Raw genomic sequence first — 19,653 nt, forward strand, 5'->3', positions numbered from 1 at the left:
ATCAAGACGCAGGTCACTTCTGGACACCTGAGCATTCAACGAGCTGTGTCCCACGGGACAGTCTTGCCCCCGGGGACCTGGACAGAGCCGGTGACCCCAGGAAAACGATAAGGTACCAGGCACCTGAACGTTCCTCCACACACACCCTGTGCCGTCGACCCCAGCCCCGGGAACAGGGTGCTCCCACTAGGGGTCCGACCCTACCAGCACCCCTGGACGCGGAGACGCGCGCACGCCCTCGGCCCCCGCCGGAGGCCCGCGCGCAGGGGAGGAGGCGGCTCGGAGGGGCTGCGCCGCAAGAGGGGCGGGAACGGGGCGCGCGCGGGCGCCGGGGCGGGAGCGCGCGGCCCGAAGGGAGGCTCCGGCGCCCGGGGGAGGGGCTACGGGCAGGCCCCGGGCAGCCGCGAGGGGAGGGGAGGGGCCGGCTCCAGCTCCGGCCCCCTGGCACGGCGGCGCCCACGCCCCCAGCCCCGCCGGCCTGAAAGCAGGTGGCGGCGGGCGGGGGAAGGGGCGTCCCGCGGCTGAGGGTGGGCCTCGGAAGCCCCGCGCGTACCAGACTCCTCGTCCTTCTTGTCGAATTTTTTAATCATCTTGGACGACTTCCCAGCGCCCAGACCCACCGCAACCGTCCCAGGCGCCGCAGCCGGCGAGCGGAAGAGGCTGCAGGAAGGCCGGCCCCGCGCTCTCACGCCGGTTGGGCCGCCGCGCCTTCACTCGGGGCCAAGGCCCGCCCTCCCCGGCCGCCCTCGGCCCCCGGGACGCAGCCACGCCCCCTTCTCCTCTTGCGGCCCGCCGGAGACTTCGGCTCGACCCTCCCGGCTTGCGACCCGGGAGCCCACGCCCGCAGCAGCAGGAATGTGGTTTTATTTGGGTGGCGACTTCTGCGGACCCCTCAGTCTCAAGAGAGCGAGGCGGGAGGACTGAGGGGTCTGTGTTCACCCGATGACCGTGGCCTTTTTGATAATCCACTGCGGGGCCCTCCCGTTGCGGAAGGCGCTCTCCCCGGGCGCGGTTCTGGTGGGCATGTCTTCCAAGAGCGATGCGAGTGTCAGTGGTTCCCGAATCACTTTGGAAATTGGCCTTTCACTCGCTGACTTCTTGGAAGCTACGACAAAGCACAGGCACCCTGGTGAATGTGGCTTTTCAGAAGTACTCGAAGGATACTTAATGTGAGATGTAAAGGAGACGCACTTGGAGGGACCAGAGGCTGGTCTTTAGAGGGTAGATTTTGGACCGTGTAATACCATTCCCAACCTATTTTATAATTTTTGGATTCCTTCATTTCATCAAAACCCAGTGGAAAATTCATTGCCAGTTTAGAGTCTTCCTTGTTCAAGCCTATTTCTTTCAATGATTCCATCTGAAACCATATTGACACTTAAGAAACTCACTAAATTAACGTGCATTCATTCCTAACTCATGTTCCTCTTTTTCTCAGAGTGTATGCTGGCTTTCTGTTCTCTTGTCTAAGAGTGTAGCTAAGAAACTTTGTCTGCCTTTGGCTTCACTGGCATAACTTGTTTAGAAATGTAAATTGGGTCTATACTCAACAGGATCGTGCCCCTGCAAAATTAGAGAAATTCTAACCTAGATTACATTCTACATCCTAGAGAAATTCTTTCCCTGAAATACAGATTTAAGATGAACTGTTGATATCCTACATATGGTATCATTTAAGATTTAACTCCGACTTGACTAAATGTACTATTAACTACTATGTTTGCTTTATATGGCTTGTAAAGGTCAAGTCATACTTTGTAGGTGGAGTTTTCTTTGAAGGAAATAGAAGTCTGCACTCATTTATTCTGGGGGTGAAAATAAACAGGCTTTGGGGAAGGAAACATCCTCTTCCTCTTCCTTGGCCCAAGGGTATTGGGAACCTAGGCAGAGACAGTGTAGATAATAGGCCCAGAGGTTCTCAAGGTGGGTAATGCCCCGGAGACCTGCTGAGAAGTAGAAGGACCTGAGTTCAGATTTGGGGCTGACCCTAAGACTAGCCCCTTGTAAAGCAAGATCAATCATTCTCTGCTGTTCTTCAGCTTTTCTGTATATCTATGAAGTTTTGTTTAATACCACAGGTTGTTTTTAGCTGTGCAGTATTTACGGAGTTAAGAGCATCAGTAGGTGGAAATGGGATGGGATGTGGTGGCAGATAGGTATAGCAGGAGCAGAGAAGCCTGAAGAAGCCAGTTAAGGGATGGTATAATATGACCCCAGGCCTTCGGTATCAGGACTATTTGGACTGAGGATGGCTGGCAGACGGGTTGAGCAATCACTGCAATGGCTTTGTGGGACAGGCAAGGATACCTTAGGGAGTCTCAGGAATTGTTTGAGGAGAGAAACCCAGTAGGAGAAATGGACCTTATCTTAAAACCATGAGCTGGTGAAGTCTGAGGACCCACCAATTATATATATCTAATACACAAATGTGTACTCAGTGCCCTGAAATTCTTCATTGGGTCCAAACTGCCTACTGGATAAAACCCAAACCTTTATTTAAATAATATTTAAGGCATTGTGGTATTTTCGATTTCTTGTTATTGTTGTTTGTTTGTTTTTCAGACAGGGTCTCACTCTGTTACCCAGGCTGGAGTGCAATGGCATAATCACAGCTAACTGCAACCTTGAACTCCTAGGTTCAAGCAATCCTCCTTCCTCAAGCCCCCCAAGTAGCTCAGACTACAGGTGCATGCCGCCACACCCTGTTAAATTTTTTTAAATTATTTTTTGTAGAGACAGGATCTCACTATGTTGCCCAGGCTAGTGTCAAGCCCCTGGCCTCCAGCAATCCTCCTGCCCCAGCCTCCCAAACTGCTAGGATTACGGACACGCCCAGCCTGTCAAGGCCTTTTATGATCTGTTTCATCTCTTTCACATATTGAAAGTGATATTGTTGGTGCTTGGTAAGTGTCAGACACTTAGTAGGAACCCTTGAAATACTGTTAAATAAATGATAATATGTGAGGAGGATTCTCATTGTACCCTCTGCCATACAACCTTATTCCAAGCCCCTTCTACCCCATTCCCTACCCCAATCCCAGAGACTTTTGTACCTCTAAGACACACAGACTTATCCTTTGGCCCTTTTAGAGCAGTTTTTTCTTCAAAGTATAATATGCATACCACTGGGTGGTTCTAGGTGGTACATAGATAAACATTTTAAAATTTCATTATTATAAATTTGATATAAGTGTTTCAGAAAAGCATATAATTTGTACATCAAAACCATGATATCAATGATATAGTATTAATTAGGACAAGATTTTTTAAAAATCCTTTTAAAAAATGCTAAGTAAATTAACAGCAAATAATACATCAATATGGCAAAAACTATTAAAGTGCTGGGTGATATAGCTTAGTAAACACTGCTAGAGCTTTCTTGAAATTTGAGGATTTAAACAGGGTCCAGAGCTTTGCACCTTTTGAGCCTCTATTTGTTGTTAACTTCCATGCTATAGGGAAAAATAGTCTCCAGGACTACCACGAGAGAAGCCAGTTTGCCACATCTATAATCCTCATGGATTGTATCTCCAGCCCAAATCTCAGTCCAGTAAGCCTTTGCTTTGAAAGAGAGGAGCTTACCATCTTTCCTCATATCTCTCTCATGGACTGGAGCAAAGGTGAGCTGAGGGTACATTTTCTTCTGTGTCCTCAAAGCGTAGACTTTTGAATACTTCCCTTCGCTCTTGAAATCATTGTCAGTGGAAAACCTTAACAAAGAAAGTTCTTTGTTTAGTAGATCCTAGGGCAGGGGGATTCATGGAACTATTCACTTTATTTTATTTTATTTTATTTTATTTTATTTTATTTTATTTTATGTATTTATTTTGAGACACAAGTCTTGTTCTGTCACCCAAGCTGGAGTGCAGTGGCATGATCTTGGTTCACTGCAACCTCTGCCTCCCAGGTTCAAGCGATTCTCCTGCCTCAGCCTCCCAAGTAGCTGGGATTACAGGCACTTGCCACCACGCCTGGCTAATTTTTGTATTTTTAGTAGAGACGGTTTTCACCATGTTGGCCAGGCTGGTCTCGAACTCCTGAGCTCAAGTGATCTGCCCACCTTGGCCTCCTGAAGTGCTGGGATTACAGGCATGAGACACCGCGCCCAGCCCCACCATTCACTTTAAAGTTGGCTACATTCTCAGAGAAGACAAGACAATGATAGGAGCCTGTTGATTGGTGCCAAGTAGGAATATTGTTCCGTGACAAGGGATGCTTCTGAACTTAACACTGTAAACCTTTGGAGGAACTCCAGAATCTCTTCTGTCCTCTCTAAACTACACATAGGCTGCTCTTGTAAGTAGTTTCACATAAAACCTCTTTTGTCTAATGTGTTCTCATAGCACATGGTTCCTGTGATATAGCGCCTAACTTGTATTGAGGGTACTTTTTTTTTTTTCCTGTTTCTTCAAAGCACAGACCTTGGAATATTTCCCCTCAATCTTGAAACCATTGCCAGTGCAAAACCTTAGTTTTGCATGACTGTTTCTCTTTGATTCATGTGTCAATGAGGTTAGGGTCATGTAGGGAAAGTCGTGTCTTACTATCTTTGTACGACCAAAGAATATGTCATTAAATTGTATGGCAAAGAACCAGAAACGTGAATAGGGAAAAGATAGGAAAGAAAGCAAGTACAAGAAGAAGCAAGATTTCACCTAAACCATTGTTCTCGCTTGGATGTGGGATCATCCGACAGTATCAAAGGGAAGATTGGTTTCAGCTTAGATCTTAACTTTTTTTTCTGAGGCATGCGGGGCAGCCAGAGGTTCTCAGTGGGTTTGTGCTGATGATGACTTTCCTGTAGGGAAACGAGGGAAGAAGAGTGAGGGAGTAAGCTGAGTCCCTTGGGATTTTAAGTTTGGACCAAGTTCCTGGACTAAGTTCCAATTCCCCTACAATCATGCAACAAAACCTGTCAGAGGGGGAAGTGGGAACTCAGAAACCAGAATCAGAGGAAGCCGTTCCCTGGGAGGGAAAACACTCTTTTCATTGCCAGATTACTTGTCCAAAACCTGTTCAGTTTCCTAAGTAATTGATTAAATTTGCCTACTGGCCCTTGGAAGTGAATGGCAGAGAAAGTTACCCAGTTTGGGGAAGGATTCAACCAGTGAAGTCCTTGGGGAAGTAAGTATTTGGCAATAAATTGGGAAATAGATCCATGGGACTTTACCTTCCTTTCTTGGAGATGGCTGCCTCATCCACATTCCATTCTCCTTAATGAGAAGGCCATGGAATGGGATGTTGTGAAGTAATAATTATACCATTACTAAAGGTCATAGAATCAAAGTCTTTCAGAAAGAATCTTAAGTCATCCAGTCTGTTTGTCTGTCCCTCCTAGCCCTTCCATAATCTCACTATCAAGTGCTCAATCTTTCTTTACCTAAAAAAAAAAAGATTTCACCTTTGATCAGCCAATAGATATCTCCCTGTAACTTTTACCCTATAGTCCAGAAGGAACAAATCTAGTCCTTCTTCCATAGAGTCCTTAAACATTTTGAAGGAATTCATCACATTCCTCCTAAGCTCTGTCTCTTCCAGGCTAAACATTGCCAATGTGTTGAACTTTTTTTCATATGACATGGCATTGGGTTCCTTTTTCTTTTTTTAATCTCATTGGAGAAAGCTACAGTTCATATTCTAACTAATGTGCGGCAATCTGAAATGAAAACAATATGCCAGGTGTAGTAACTGCATGGCATATCCCCTGGCCCCATGGAAGTGTCTATTCAAAAGTCAACCAGGCACGGTGGCTCATGCCTGTAATCCCAGCACTTTGGGAGGCCAAAGCGATGGATCATGAGGTCAGGAGTTCGAGACCAGCCTGACCAACATGGTGAAACCCCGTCTCTACTAAAAATACAAAAAAATTAGCTGGGCGTGGTGGCGCGTGCCTATATTCCCAGCTACTTGGGAGGCTGAGGCAGGAGAATCGCTTGAACCCAGGAGTCAGAGGTTGCAGTGAGCCGAGATCACACCACTGCATTCCAGCTTGGGCAACAGAGTGAGACTCCATCTCAGTAAAACAACAACAACAACAAAAAGTCATCAATTCTGAGAGCCTTCTTCTTTTCTTCTTTTTTTTCTTTTTTTCTTTTTTTTTTTTTTTTTTTTGAGATAGAGTCTCACTCTGTCTCCCAGACCTGGAGTGCTATGGTGTGATCTCGGCTCACTACAACCTCTGCCTCCTGGGCTCTAGTGGGTCTCCTGCCTCAGCCTCCCGAGTAGCTAGGATTACAGGTGCGTGTCACCACGCCCAGTTAATTTTTGTATTTTTAGTAGAAACGGGGTTTCACCATGTTGGCCAGACTGGTCTCGAACTCCTGACCTCGTGATCCACCTGCCTTGGCCTCCCAAAGCTCTGGGATTACAGGCATGAGCCACCGTGCCCAGCAGAGCCTTCTTAACTACACTATCTAACATTGCCACTCACATCCATCACATTCCATCTCCTTATCCTGCTTTGTCATGGCATTTATCACATTACATTATCTGTGTGATCATTTGTTTATGGTCTAAGTCACTAGAATTAAGCTTCATTAGAGCAAAGACTGGGTCTTAGTCATTAATATATCCCTAGCACCCGTAATAGTGCCTGGCACATAGTAGATGTTCAATAAATATTTGTTGAATGAATAAATGACCAAACTAATTAATTAACATATTGAGCTTTTGCTATCAGAATCTTAAAGACTTTTTGTCTTTAATACTTGCTGCTTCTGAACCATGTCTTTTCAATTCTGAACTTATTCTCTTTAAGCTCTTGTATTAGGATGGTGCAAAAGTAATTGCAGTTTTGCAATTATAATGGCAAAAACTGCACTTACTTTTGTGTCAACCTAATAATTTTAAGGGAAAGAAATCCATTTGAGTTATCTTAAATAATAGGTTTTTTACTGTAAGAGCACATGTGCCTAATAACTAAGATATAGATAACTATCCAGCCATAAGCAAAACCCTAGGAGAGCTGGACCTCATATCAGAAAAACAGTAACTGAAAAGTTATTTGGAATCCAAGACAGCACTAGTGAAGGACCACTGTCTTAATGCAAACATATCACTCACATGTTTCTCCTACTTTCTTCCTATCTGCTTCCTTCTTCTCCCTTTACCTTGTTCACTCCTCACCTTTACTCCATAAATATGTGTGTATATATATATATATGTATATATATATGGGTTTTTTTCTACCTATAGCTTCTGCTTATTTACTTCTACTTCCTACTTCCCTATAACTTCAGCCTTCCCATACTCGACTTCATGGCCTCTTCACTACCTTTCTTCCTCATGGTTTGAGTCTTTTTTTGGGGGGGGTGGGGTGGGGAGGGGATGGAATCTCACTCTGTTGCCTGGGCTGGACTGCAGTGGCACAGTCTCCACTCACTGCAACCTCCACCTCCCAAGTTCAAGCAATTCTCCTGTGTTAGCCTCCGGAGTAGCTAGGACTACAGGCATGTGCCACCACGCCTGGCTAATTTTTTGTATTTTTAGTAGAGACAGGGTTTCACCACGTTAGCCAGGATGGTCTCAATCTCCTGACCTCGTGATCTGCCTGCCTCGGCCTCCCAAAGTGCTGGGCTTACAGGCGTGAGCCACTGCGCCAGGCCGGTTTGAGTCTTCTAGCCTTACTCTTATGTGTCCTTTTAGCTTTCATTCCTACTGCTTCAATCTTTTCATTTCTCAATTCAGAGACCTGGAAACAAGAATCTGATTAGCTCAGGGATTCTGGATGTTGGTAGGTTGGTTGGTTTTTGTTTTGATTTGTTTTTTGTTTGTTTTGGTTTTAGGGTACCAATCCACATCACAGGTCACTACCCAGCCTATGAATTTTGCTTTGTTGGGTCTGATATCCTCCTCTGGTCTCAACTAGGAGTGGGGACACGGTCCTGTTGTACAAAATAGAACTTCTCAGGATATTCCCTTACTCAGGAGACTGTGGTAGGGTCAGTTTCACTTAGAAGGGGCTGTTAGTATGACAATCACTGTAATAGATATATCTAGTACATTCCATAACTTGCCTACTAGAACTCACAGTCTTTTTGGATGCATGCCTGGGCATAACAAAGAATGCTTTTCTTGTAAATGATTCTAGGTTTACAAAAGATTATCACATTTGTCCAGCAAGGGAAGGAAAGGATGCTGCATGAATATTAAAGAGGCATTGTAGATATCACACGTTTCAATCTTCTTGGGCTTGTTCCAGTCTGATAGCCCCATAAAATTACCATGGTGCCAGTCTTTGAGCCTTAACTTTATCCATTAGTACAATTTAACTGGTACCACAATTTGCTCATCAATATGATTAGATTCTGCACCTGAACTGGAGGGTTCACAAAGTGTGCAGGCTGTTGGAAGAAAGCTCTTCCCACACCCAGTTTACATGATAGCTTTGTATTTCCTTCTGCGCATTAAGCAGGGCAATCCTGGCCTGGCATTTATCCCTTTCTCAATGTATGGTCCACCCACTGCCATGAGAAACTACCAGTGAGCTTACCTTCAAAGGGCACAAATTCTGAGACCCAAGAGACCACATGCGGTAAATTCATTAACTCCTTTGTTAGTACATGCCATTGGATATTAGCATTTTATCTTCCACTTGAAGGAGAATCTCTCACTGTCATCCATCTAGGAACTATGGAAACACTAACTCCAAATTCACCACATTTTATTATAAGGGTCTCACTTGGGTAATCCCATGCCCAGCATAAAATTTCTACTAGAATCCTTTGTTTGCACTTTCACTTAACTCATTTATTTAATTTGTTCTTGTTAGATTAGACCCGCTCTTGAGGCTATCATGACCTTTTTTAGATTTTGATTCTTTTTTTTTTTTTTGAGACTGAGTCTCCCTCTGTCGCCCAGGCTGGAGTGCAGTGGTGCGATCTCGGCTCACTGCGAGCTCCGCCTCCCACGTTCACTCCATTTTCCTGCCTCAGCCTCCGGAGTAGCTGGGAGTACAGGCGCCCGCTACCACGCCCGGCTAATTTTTTGTATTTTTAGTAGAGACGGGGTTTCACTGGGTTAGCCAGGATGGTCTCAATCTCCTGACCTCGTGATCCACCTGCCTTGGCCTCCCAAAGTGCTGGGATTACAGGCGTGAGCCACTGCTCCCGGCCAGATTTTGATTCTTAAATATCTCATAATTAAATTTTCTCTACTTCCTCTGCTAATGATTTAGTTCAGGTCTTCAGTATCTCTCACCTTGACTATTTTAGTAACATTATAACTCATCTTTCTGGGTTTTGTCTCTTCCACAACTACTAATGCACCTTTCTTCAACCTCCAAAACAGTCTTCCTAAAATGCAAATTTGATTACATCCTTTTGTCTCCTGCCATTTACTCTATTTGCTTTTTCTTTTTTTTTTTGAGATAGAGTCTCGCCCTGTCGCCCATGCTGGAATGCAGTAGCGCTATCTTGGCTCACTGCAACCTCCACCTCCCAGGTTCAAGCGATTCTCCTCCCTCAGCCTCCTGAGTAGCTGGGACTACAGGCATGCAGCACCACGCATGGCTAATTTTTGTATTTTTAGGAGAGATGGGGTTTCACCATGTTGGCCAAGCTGGTGTCAAACTCCTTATCTCAAGTGATCTGCCCGCCTCAGCCTCCCAAAGTGCTGGGATTACAGGCGTGAGCCACTGCGCCTGGCCCTGCCATTTACTCTCTTACATCTTCCTGAATGCACCTCATTTTCCCATGTCTTCATGCTTTTGCTCTTTCCTCTGATTTGATATTTTCCTGTTCTTTTGTCATGGGTCACTTCCCTACTCACTCCCTTTTTCCCAACAGAAATACTGTATTCTACATTACTTCTGTATTTTGTATATTCTTCTATTACTTTAACATACCTCATTTATTGATCTTTCTCCTATTAGATTCCAAGTTCCTTTAAGACAGAAACTGTCCTGTAATCATCTTTATATTCTGGTTTTTAGCTTACTGTATCCTCAGCAATTGCTTGTTGAATGGAATTTGAATTTCTTTAGTCTATAAAGGAGTTTCAAAGATTTGGCTACTGTGTAGGCCGGGCGCGATGGCTCACGCCTGTAATCCCAGCACTTTGGGAGGCCAAGGCGGGTGGATCACAAGGTCAGAAGATCGAGACCATCCTGGCTAACACGGTGAAACCCCGTCTCTACTAAAAAATACAAAAAATTAGCTGGGCGTGGTGGTGGGCACCTGTAGTCCTAGCTGCTCGGGAGGCTGAGGCAGGAGAATGGCGTGAACCCGGGAGGCGGAGCTTGCAGTGAGCCGAGATCGCGCCACTGTACTCCAGCCTGAGCGATAGAACGAGACTCCGTCTCAAAAAAAAAAAAAATGGTTTGGCTACTGTGATGGCAAATTCCGTCTTCTGAAACTGGAAAGTAATGTGTACTAAAGCATCATTCTTTACTCCTTTCCCATTTAGATATTCATCCCTGTTTTTATTCCTCATTTCCTGACTCATCTTTTACTACTTTATTCTCAACTAGAAAGTCAGTGGCTAGTCTACCCTTTGTTACTTACAAATTAAATATCTTTGGCCAAAGAAGAACACTTTCCAGTGAAGACCCCATTTTCTCCCTGCAATGAAGTTTCAGCACCCAAGCTTATTGAATTCTGATTCCCAGGTTCTCCAGATGCTGTTATGTGAAGCATAGGATCAGGAATAAGAAGGAAGAGATAGACCAAGTGCAGTGGCTCACACCTATAATCCCAGCACTTTGGGAGGCCGAGGCTGGAGAATCACTTGAGGCCATGAGTTCAAGACTAGCCTGGGCAACATAGTGAGACCCCCGTCTCTACCAAAATAATAAAAAAAGTTTAGTCGGGCATGGTGATGCACACCTGTAGCCCCAGCTACTCAGGAGGCTGAGATGGGAAGATTGTTTGAGCCCAAGAGGTCAAGGCTGCAGTGAGCCATGATTGTGCCACTGCAGTCCGGCCTGGGTAACAGAGTGAGACCCTATCTCAAACAAACAAACAAAAAAATTAAGAGGTTTTCTGAGTACTATTCTCCATGTTAAGTTAACTTCCTTCTCAATGCTAACTCCTAATTCGTCAGGGTTCACATTTTGGGTGCCAGGAGACTTCTGCTTACCATGACCTTGAGCAGTAACTCCTTGGAAAAATATTTTGATGCACTCTCCTTGTCTTGCTGGGTGATTGAGCAGGGAGGTGGGTTGTTGGTCATAATCAGTAACGTCTTATCCTGGTCATACTGTGTTACTTTTAACATGAAGCTGGTGTTTTTCCTGTTTTGAGCCAGGAATTTCTGCAGGGCAGTGGCCTTCAAAGGCTTATAGTACTGGGCCTGAACAGACAGAAAGGTTTCCAGAGAGAAAAAGAGATTAGGCCAAGAGCAGGTTAACAAATCGGTTGGCTGATACTTAGCCTCTGTGGGGTAAGAACAGAAGCTGGACAGACTTGCTGCAAAATCTGTAGGGTTTTTTGGTTTTGTTTTTGTTTTTTTTGAGACGGAGTCTCACTCTGGTGCCCAGGCTGGAGCCCAGTGGCATGATCATGACTCACTGCAACCTAGACCTCCCGGGCTCAAGTGATTCTCCCACCTTGGCCTCCTAAGTAGCTGGGATTACAGGCACATGCCACCCTGTCCAGCTGATTTTTGTGGGTTTTTCTGTTTTTGTTTTGTAGAGATGGAGTTTTGCCATGTTGCCCAGGCTGGTTTCAAACTCCTGGGCTCAAGCGATGCACCCATCTCAGCCTCCCAAAGTATGGAGATTACAGAAGTGAGTTATCACACGCAGCCCTAAAATGTGTTTATCAGAAACTGTCTGAAGCTCTCAGTCCCTCTCTTCCCTTGGGGCATTCCCCTGGAAATACACTAAGGGGCTGGCGCAATGTGATGGAAAGGTTTCCATGGTAAAAGGAGTCAGGTAACTTAATTCTTCCAATATAATGGGACAAGCAGAGAAGTTTCTACATGGCTAAACCTAATTGGCCTTGTCTCTACAACTCTCTCTAAGGTACGAGGGAAAGCTACCAGGGACCAAATCTCGCTTAAGGAATTCTTCAGAAGTTGGCACAGCCAAGTGCAACACCTTCCCATATTTACATCTTCCACGTAATGTTCCATATTTACGTCAACATTTCTCAGGCACAACCACATTGACATGCACTCACAAGCACAATGTTAAAAAAGGAAAAGCAGGCCAGGTGCGGTGGCTCACGCCTGTAATCCCAGCACTTTGGGAGGCCAAGGCAGGTGGATCACGAGGTCAGGAGATCGAGACCATCCTGGCTAACACGGTGAAACCCCGTCTCTACTAAATATACAAAAAATTAGCCAGGCGTAGTGGGGGGCGCCTATATTCCCAGCTACTCGGGAGGCTGAGGCAGGAGAATAGCATGAACCCAGGGGGCGGAGCTTGCAGTGAGCCGAGATCGCACCACTGCACTCCAGCCTGGGCAACAGAGCGAGACTCCATCTCAGAAAAAAAAAAAAAAAAGTAAAAGCAGCCACAAAAGATAGCATGTCACTTAAGGTGTGGGTGAGGAAGGGACGGTCCCACTAAATTTGCCTTTCTCTCAATAGGAGAAAGGCAGAGGGTTGGGGGGAAGGAAGTGAAAGGGAGAAAATGGATTACAAATATATTTTTTTCCTGATCATAAATATGTTTCCTCAACTTAAAAAAAATCAGCTGTGGGGACCCACTTTCTTCCCAGTTCTCATCTCCCACTTTGCCACCCCAATCCTCAGCACTGCCTCTGGCATCATAACCTAGAGGCAGCTCTGCCTGCCTGTCCTAAGAGTACGCACAGTCACAGAAGCTGGGGACACTTGGAGGCATTAGGGACACTCGCAGTGGGCATCTGCACCACTGCTGAAACTTCCCCTTAGAGATCTTGGGGGAATGCTTTCTCTACCTACCAAATTTGGATGGACTGTGTAATGCCGAAGGTTCTCTAGAACAAATTTTGATTGCCCGACTGCATCAGAAATCTAAAGAGGATAATCAAAGTTAGTGGTTTGAAGTTGCACCTATCCTAAACAGTATTCCATTCCTTACCTCACCTTAGTCTCACTGGAGAACTGGTCTCTAACTTACACTAAGTAAGTTAGAGAAGTACAGTTAGAAGTGCTTCAGATTTTGTACTCTAGGTTTCTGGAACAAGGGCCCCAGCAAGGAGACCTGGATTCTAAGACCTCCTGACCGTGACACTTGTCAGCGGAAATGGGGCCAGCCTTATGAAATGTCAGGGAAAGCCGTTAGGAGGGGAAATAGACAAGGGCAGCATCAGTTCAGATTGCGACAAATCTTTCCAAGGAGTCACTTCTTTCTTATGCCTTTTCCATAGCTATAGGAGTGAAATGAGGTGAAAATCAACATGCAGGACAAATCTTTAAGGAGAAAAGCAAGTTTCAAAAGGGCATTAACCTAAAAGTTGTGGGTGCAAGGGAGCCCTAGGGTCAACTCTGCCAATTGAGCTGGGAGCCGACCTACTCACAGAGAAAGGAAGAAGAGCAGTGCATGTTACAATTTTGAACATCTCTGCAGTATGAAATTCTTCCAGAAATGTTGCAAAAAATAATTGAATTTTGGTAACACTTGTGTCTACCACTTTGCTTTTTTATTTTTATTTTTATTTTTTTTGCTGGTGGGTAGTCCTGGATGTTAGTGGATTATTTGAGTGTCATATCTGATAGTAGAGGAGCTGAGCCTTTTCCATTCCCTTTCTGCTGACCTAGTGTTCTTGCTTCTCCTCTTGCATAGCCCTGCCTAAGGATGAATCAAGGAGATAGGAACACAAGGATATAAAAGCTCTGAATTATCTTCTTCTGGCTTGGCATAGTCAGAAATCGGAAAAAAAGAAGAGTGCATCATTATCCTGTGTTCAGATCAGCATTTCTTTTTTCTTTTCTTTTTTTCTTTTTTCTTTTAAATACAGGGTCTCACTGTGTCCCCCAGGCTGGAGGGCATTGGTGCAATCATAGGTCCCTGTAACCTTGAACTCCTGGGCTCAAGTGATCTTCCCTCCTCAGCATCCCGAGTACCTGGGTCTAAAGGCACGTGCCACCATGCCCAGCTATTATTATTATTTATTAATTTTTCTTTTTTTTTGCTACTGAGTCTCGCTCTGTTGCCCAGGCTGGAGTGCAATGGCATGATCTTGGCTCACTGCAACCTCTGCCTCCCGGGTTCAAGCAATTCTCCTGCCTCAGCCTCCTGAGTAGCTGGGATTACAGGCTCCCACCACCGCACCTGGCTAATTTTTGTATTTTTAGTAGAGATGGGGTTTCGCCATATTGGCCAGGCTGGTTTTGAACTCCTGACCTCCAGTGATCCGCCCACCTTGGCCTCCCAAAGTGCTGGGATTACAGGCGTGAGCTACCATGCCTGGCCTATTTTTTATTTTTTGTAGAGATGAGGGTCTCACTGTGTTGACTAACTCTTGGGCTCAAGTGATCCTCCCACCTTGGCCTCCCAAAGTGCTGGGATTACAGGTATGAGCCACCACGCCCAGCCTGGCTCAGCATTTCTAAAGATTGCTATACCTCCCCCATCAGGAGGCAGTATGGTAAGGTGGGTGCCTTACCCACCTTACAGAGGAAAGGGAACGTGCACTGAAAAGTTAATAAAGCAAGAGGGCTAATGGAGAAGAGGGAAGCAGTCAGAATGGGACAGAACTATGAGTTAAGAGGAGGCCCTGCTATGCTCCAGGAAGAAAAGGCCAGAAGTTGGCAATTCTTGGCAGTTGGAGAAGGAGCGGGAAGAAGCATAGCAAAGCCACTCCACAAATTCCTTTAGAGAGGGTGGGATGAACTATGAGATGGTGGGATGGATCCAAAGACTCAATCATTTAATTTTTTACCACCTTATGGAAAACTAAAGTTCATTTGTTGAAAACAGAAATATGAAAAACCTGCTTCACAACTATGAAATGTATGACATATTTAGAATCATAGAAGTTAGGAAAAACTTATTTGGGAGAAAGGTATGAAGACCTTTTCTCTTACAGGTTTTTTAAAAAAAATAATTTTAGGGGGAAATTCCCTGGTGAAAATGTTTTTACTCCTGAAGTTTTTTGAAGTATTGCATATCTGTTCCAAATTAGTCTCTAGCAGTTGACTAAACCCACAAGATTGTCCAAATTGGAATGTGTTTTTAGTTTTGTTATGTTGAATTTCACTATCTGTGGCTGATTAAATAAAAGTTGGCCTGGAAAATTCACTTGAATGTGGTAAACATGGGAAAACAACCAAGATACCCAGTGGAGTTTTGCTACAAGAGGTAGTTGTAAAGTCTGCGTAAGTTAGGGTTTGACACGCTCTTACTCCCTAAGATAGGTTTCTGCTTCCTGGGTTTTATGTCCTGATTTGTTGCTGATGTGTCCTGTTCCTTCTTTTTCTGTGCTCTATTTCTCTTCAATAACATTTGACAAGTTAACCTTGTTTTCCATATACATTTTTACTCCTTTTTGCTTTTCAATAGGGAAGTTTGTGATATCCAGCTTATTAAGTACACTAAGCAGCTCCAAAGAAAAATTAAACATTGAACACTTACTAACACTCCTTACCTCTTTGCTATTGACAACCATTCCTTTCTCACGTTTAGCTGAGCTATTTTCTGAAGTCTTTGATTTGCCATTTTGAAACCTGAAAAAGAGGCAGAACATCCGGTTGCACTTTCTGGCTCAGAGGCCTGGACTTCTGCATATTGTCAGTCTCCCTCAACAAAGTTTGGAAGCCTAACTCAGACAAGTCCAATTTAGGTGATCACATCAGTAATTGACTAAGTAGCAAAAAAATCAGACTCATTATCCAGCCTGCATGCTAGGGAAAAGCAAGACTTCAGTTTGGAGAGTTAAACAAGTGGGACCTTTGGATGACTCAGTGACATCCATTGAGTTGGTTTCTTCTAAAATAAGGATTTTAGACCATTCACAGAAGTGCTCTAACGACTGCTTAAGGAAATTATTTTGGGAAGTTAGATCCTCACAATACCCTTAAAAACCACCTACTATTTTGAATACTTACCTGCCTATTCTTCTTCCACATGGAAATTGCCCTGTTTTTGCCAGTGATTGGCCAATGATTAGCCAATGAATCTGTGAGAAGGAATATAGTTAATAGAACCTCACAACTAAGTTTCCAATTCTTGTTGACCTTGCTTGGATTACTGGCTCTCATGTCTTCCTAACCACATCTCTGAAGACTTCTCTTCTTAGAACTAGGGTAGTAAAAATAATCAACAATGGCAAATATTTCTGTACTCTACTCTGTTACCCTCACCCTAATACCAATTCTCTTTGCAGAAAATAGGGTGAAGCAGCTTCTATTCTTTGCTATTCTTTTTAAACCCATTTGCTGCCAGAACATAATGTAAAATGCTCCTCAGTAAGATTTGGTTAATGATTAAGATAAATGGCCTGCTTCTTCCTTGGAGATAGTTCCATTGGGTGGTTAAATTAGCTCAAAGTAAGAAGAATTATGCAACTATCTCAACTAGACCTCTCTCCTTTAAAAATGAGGATAGCAGAATAAGGACCAAAATAAAAGTAGAAATAGCCACGCTATGTCGTTTGTAGGTCAACTGGCTATAGCGTGCTACAAATAATCCCCAAATCCATGATTCTATCCCATTCAAGCATAGCTACCTTCCATCTGTTGCTGGCCACCAGTTGCACCATTAACTCAGGTCAGAGGTCTTAAAAACGGTCCCAACAGAGTAGGTGACCCATGATGGAGAGACCAAAATTCATCCCAACTTAACATCTTAAAGTTTGTGCCCTTTCATTAAGTTATCTAATAATTAGTAATACAGTATAATATTTATTGTAGCACTTTTCAAAATGATTCTTTGATACCTAAAAGGAAGCACAGAATCCCGGATACTCTTCTTCAGGGCCAATTTAAGGCATAGAACTATATGAAAAGCGCTTCTTTAGCCCAACAGCGTCCATCTGGAACAAGCTGGTGCTTTCTTTTTGACAAAAGCAACCATGAAATACAGACCAAGATCCGGTTTTTGATCCAGGGACAATCAGTCAATTAAAATATGTTTAATGAGAGTCTACTCTGTGACCAGCACCATTCAACGTGCTGTGGGCTATGCAATAAGTTAATATAAAGTGGTGTTTATAACTTAGTTGGGCAAACAAGACTACATACTTGGTTTGTCTCTTTTGGCTCATTGCTGTTGACTGCTAGTTGGCCAACCCAAGGCAGGTATTCACCCAAGGCCAAATTCAGGTCTCTAAATAGTCCACGTTCTGCAGGGGTTCAATTCAATCCAAATATTCTTTCCTTAGCACACAGTGTGTACTCATGCCCCATTCTTGAGCCTGTATGGGAAACAAGAAAAGACTGATAGGTGCTATTGTAGATGTAGAAAATGCACAAGACATGATGATGCTTGCTCTTAGAAGTTAAATTTATTTCACAAACGGGGGAGGTGGGAGAAAGCGATTATCCAATGTAAAACAATAGTGACAAATACATGCTAATATATTAGGTAAGTCACTTTATCTCTTGGGGTCTCAATTTCCTTATCTGCAAAATGGAAAGTATTAACTAAATGATTTAAAGGTGACATTCTAATTCCATGATAGTGATGAGATTTAACTATAAAAAGATCTGAAATAAAATTAATTCACATATGTCCGTAGAAGGCTAAAGGTGGAGAAGCAGCCATCTTCCAATTTTCTCCTCCTGTCAACAAAGCCATGCTCATTCATAGATTAGGCCTGAGAAGCTGGGAAAAGTGTGTGTATATATTGGGAATGGGAGGATTGCTATACTTTTTGATATAGACAATTAGAAATGGAAGATACAAGCTGATAAGGTAGAACCAACCATTTAGAGAAAAGAAAGGTCAGTGAGCCTTGGGATGTTTCCTAAAGGTTGTGGAGCTTGAGCAGAACCTCGCAGGATAGTGTATGAAGTAGTCTAATTGGAAGATTATTTGTCGTTGTTAAGTAGGAAGAAATAAAAGCAGGTAGGTCGAATGGAGTCACATTATAGGGGCCTTGACAATTAAGTAGAACTTTGAAAAGACCTACATCAGCCCAAATTCCTATGAAGCCCACAGGTTTAGTGGAAAGCCCATAGACAAGGGTTTATGTCTAACTTGATTGTCTAGACAAACCCTAAAGATGATTTCTAGAGTTTATGACAAGACTGAGCTAAACCCTTAAAGTTCCCTTCTAGGGAAATAGAGTAATAAGCGTTTCACCCTTTTCTCACCTTTAATTTTTCTGGAATTGTAAGTCCAATTCATGTATATGGTGAAACTAAAATAAAAATGAGCTGTCAAATTGGGCAGTATAAGTCTTGGGTTGCTAGTCTGCAGGCCAGGCTGAAAAACAAATCACACAAACACTAAAACTACATTCAAAATAAGAATGTAAAAACCTGGTGTACACTACCTTTAAGAACATCACGAAATCATAGTTTGGTGAAGAAGGCAAAGTCTTTGGCATGGGAACTTTCCATTTTGAAAATATCGTAATTATTCTTTTCTGGATTCTGGAGGAGACAGAGGGAATTTGTGATGAATAGGCAATCTAGAATGCTGAGGTGTTCTGTGTTGGAGACAGAGAATGAAAAGGCCAAAACTTAAAGGCATATTTAAACAAAATCTGCCAATCTCTTATTTTGCCAGCCTATGACTTCTCTACACACACACACACACACACACACACACACACACACACACACACACATCTTCACCATCTCTTAATCTACCTCTACCTAAGCCAATGTTTTCACTGCATTCTTCAAATACAGTGAGCATTTTTTCTTATTCCCCATACTTAAAATGCTGTCCCCAATCTCTTCAGCCATTTGAATCTTCTCCTTCTCCTTCTCCTTCTCTTTCTTCTGACGGAGCCTCACACTGTCACAAGGCTGGAGTGCAGTGGCACAGTCTCAGTTCACTGCAACCTCTGTCTCCCTGGTTCAAGTGATTTTCCTGCCTCAGCCTCCAGAGTAGCTGGGACTACAGGCGCCTGCCACCATGCCCAGCTAATTTTTGTATTTTTAGTAGAGACGGGGTTTCACCATGTTGGCCAGGATGGTCTCGATCTCTTGACCTTGTGATCCACCCACCTCAGCCTCCCAAAGTGCTGGGATTACAGGCGTGAGCCACCATGCCCAGCCCTGAATCTTCTTTCTTTATGTTACTACTCAGGTCATTCCTTTAAAGAGAAGATTTTCTAGATTAATGCAATCCCAAACTCTAGACTATAGTCACTGGGTTTTGTGCATGTCATTGTATAGTGTCTTGTAGTTCTGTTTTCACTTTTCTTATGTGCGGGTCTTGTCTGCCTCTTAAGCTGTGAGTCCCTTAAAAGTGGAAATGTAAATTTTAAACATATTTGTGCCCCCCTCCCAGTGCTTTGTATCTTATGCATTCAAAACTAGTGTTTGCTTATTTCAATATATTTGCTGAACATTTATGACATATTAGACACTCTCCTAGGTGATGAGAACAAAGCATAAATCAGATGTAATTCTTGAGCTCCTTTAGGAGCTCACAGTTTAGCCAGGAAGAGAGACAAAGAAACGGTTGATTGCAACAGAGTAGAATGCCAAATTAGATCTAAATTTAGGGTACTATGGAAGCAATGAGGAAGGGGACTTAACCCATACTGAGAAGAGACTGAGAGAGATTTGGAACTACTGCCTAAACTGAGCTGGGGAAGATGAGTGTGA

At 43.7% G+C, this 19,653-nt stretch overlaps 2 protein-coding genes across 4 annotated transcripts in view, besides 3 other annotated features; both read right to left on the reverse strand.

Moving 5' to 3' along the window:
• COPG2 (coat protein complex I subunit gamma 2) overlaps positions 1-670 on the reverse strand; it is a 162,511-nt gene extending 161,841 nt beyond the window's left edge. For both annotated transcript variants that reach the window (NM_012133.6, NM_001290033.2), the window contains exon 1: positions 554-670. In NM_012133.6, the coding sequence (NP_036265.3) occupies positions 554-590 (37 nt within the window). In that variant the 5' untranslated portion in view covers positions 591-670. The remainder of the gene's footprint in view (positions 1-553) is intronic.
• Positions 253-842: a silencer, noted in NCBI's record as "silent region_18647". NCBI's record gives its function as "represses an Ori minimal core promoter by ATAC-STARR-seq in GM12878 lymphoblastoid cells {active_cell/tissue: GM12878}" and the evidence as "EXISTENCE:reporter gene assay evidence [ECO:0000049][PMID:35858748]".
• Positions 565-19,354, reverse strand: TSGA13 (testis specific 13). Of its 2 annotated transcripts, NM_001304968.2 has the most exons (9): positions 18,753-19,354; positions 18,366-18,465; positions 17,110-17,282; positions 15,516-15,594; positions 12,868-12,939; positions 11,077-11,289; positions 4,656-4,798; positions 3,583-3,710; positions 565-1,105 (listed from the first exon to the last, which is right to left on the reverse strand). In NM_001304968.2, exons 3-9 carry the CDS (start codon positions 17,130-17,132, stop codon positions 936-938), a joined length of 828 nt encoding a protein of 275 aa, NP_001291897.1. In that variant the 5' UTR covers positions 17,133-17,282; positions 18,366-18,465; positions 18,753-19,354; the 3' UTR covers positions 565-935. The 2 variants fall into 2 exon arrangements, with proteins under 2 accessions (NP_001291897.1, NP_443165.1); NM_052933.4 differs by lacking the exon at positions 18,753-19,354 and having other exon boundaries at positions 18,184-18,467.
• Positions 933-1,042: a silencer, noted in NCBI's record as "silent region_18648". NCBI's record gives its function as "represses an Ori minimal core promoter by ATAC-STARR-seq in GM12878 lymphoblastoid cells {active_cell/tissue: GM12878}" and the evidence as "EXISTENCE:reporter gene assay evidence [ECO:0000049][PMID:35858748]".
• Positions 8,236-8,792: an enhancer, noted in NCBI's record as "NANOG hESC enhancer chr7:130361154-130361710 (GRCh37/hg19 assembly coordinates)". NCBI's record gives its function as "activates a minimal SCP1, AML or CMV promoter by ChIP-STARR-seq in naive H9 embryonic stem cells {active_cell/tissue: H9 hESC(naive)}" and the evidence as "EXISTENCE:reporter gene assay evidence [ECO:0000049][PMID:30033119]".
• Positions 19,355-19,653: the final 299 nt, after the last annotated feature.

The sequence above is a fragment of the Homo sapiens genome, chromosome 7 (assembly GCF_000001405.40).
Source record: "Homo sapiens chromosome 7, GRCh38.p14 Primary Assembly".
NCBI lineage: Eukaryota > Metazoa > Chordata > Mammalia > Primates > Hominidae > Homo > Homo sapiens.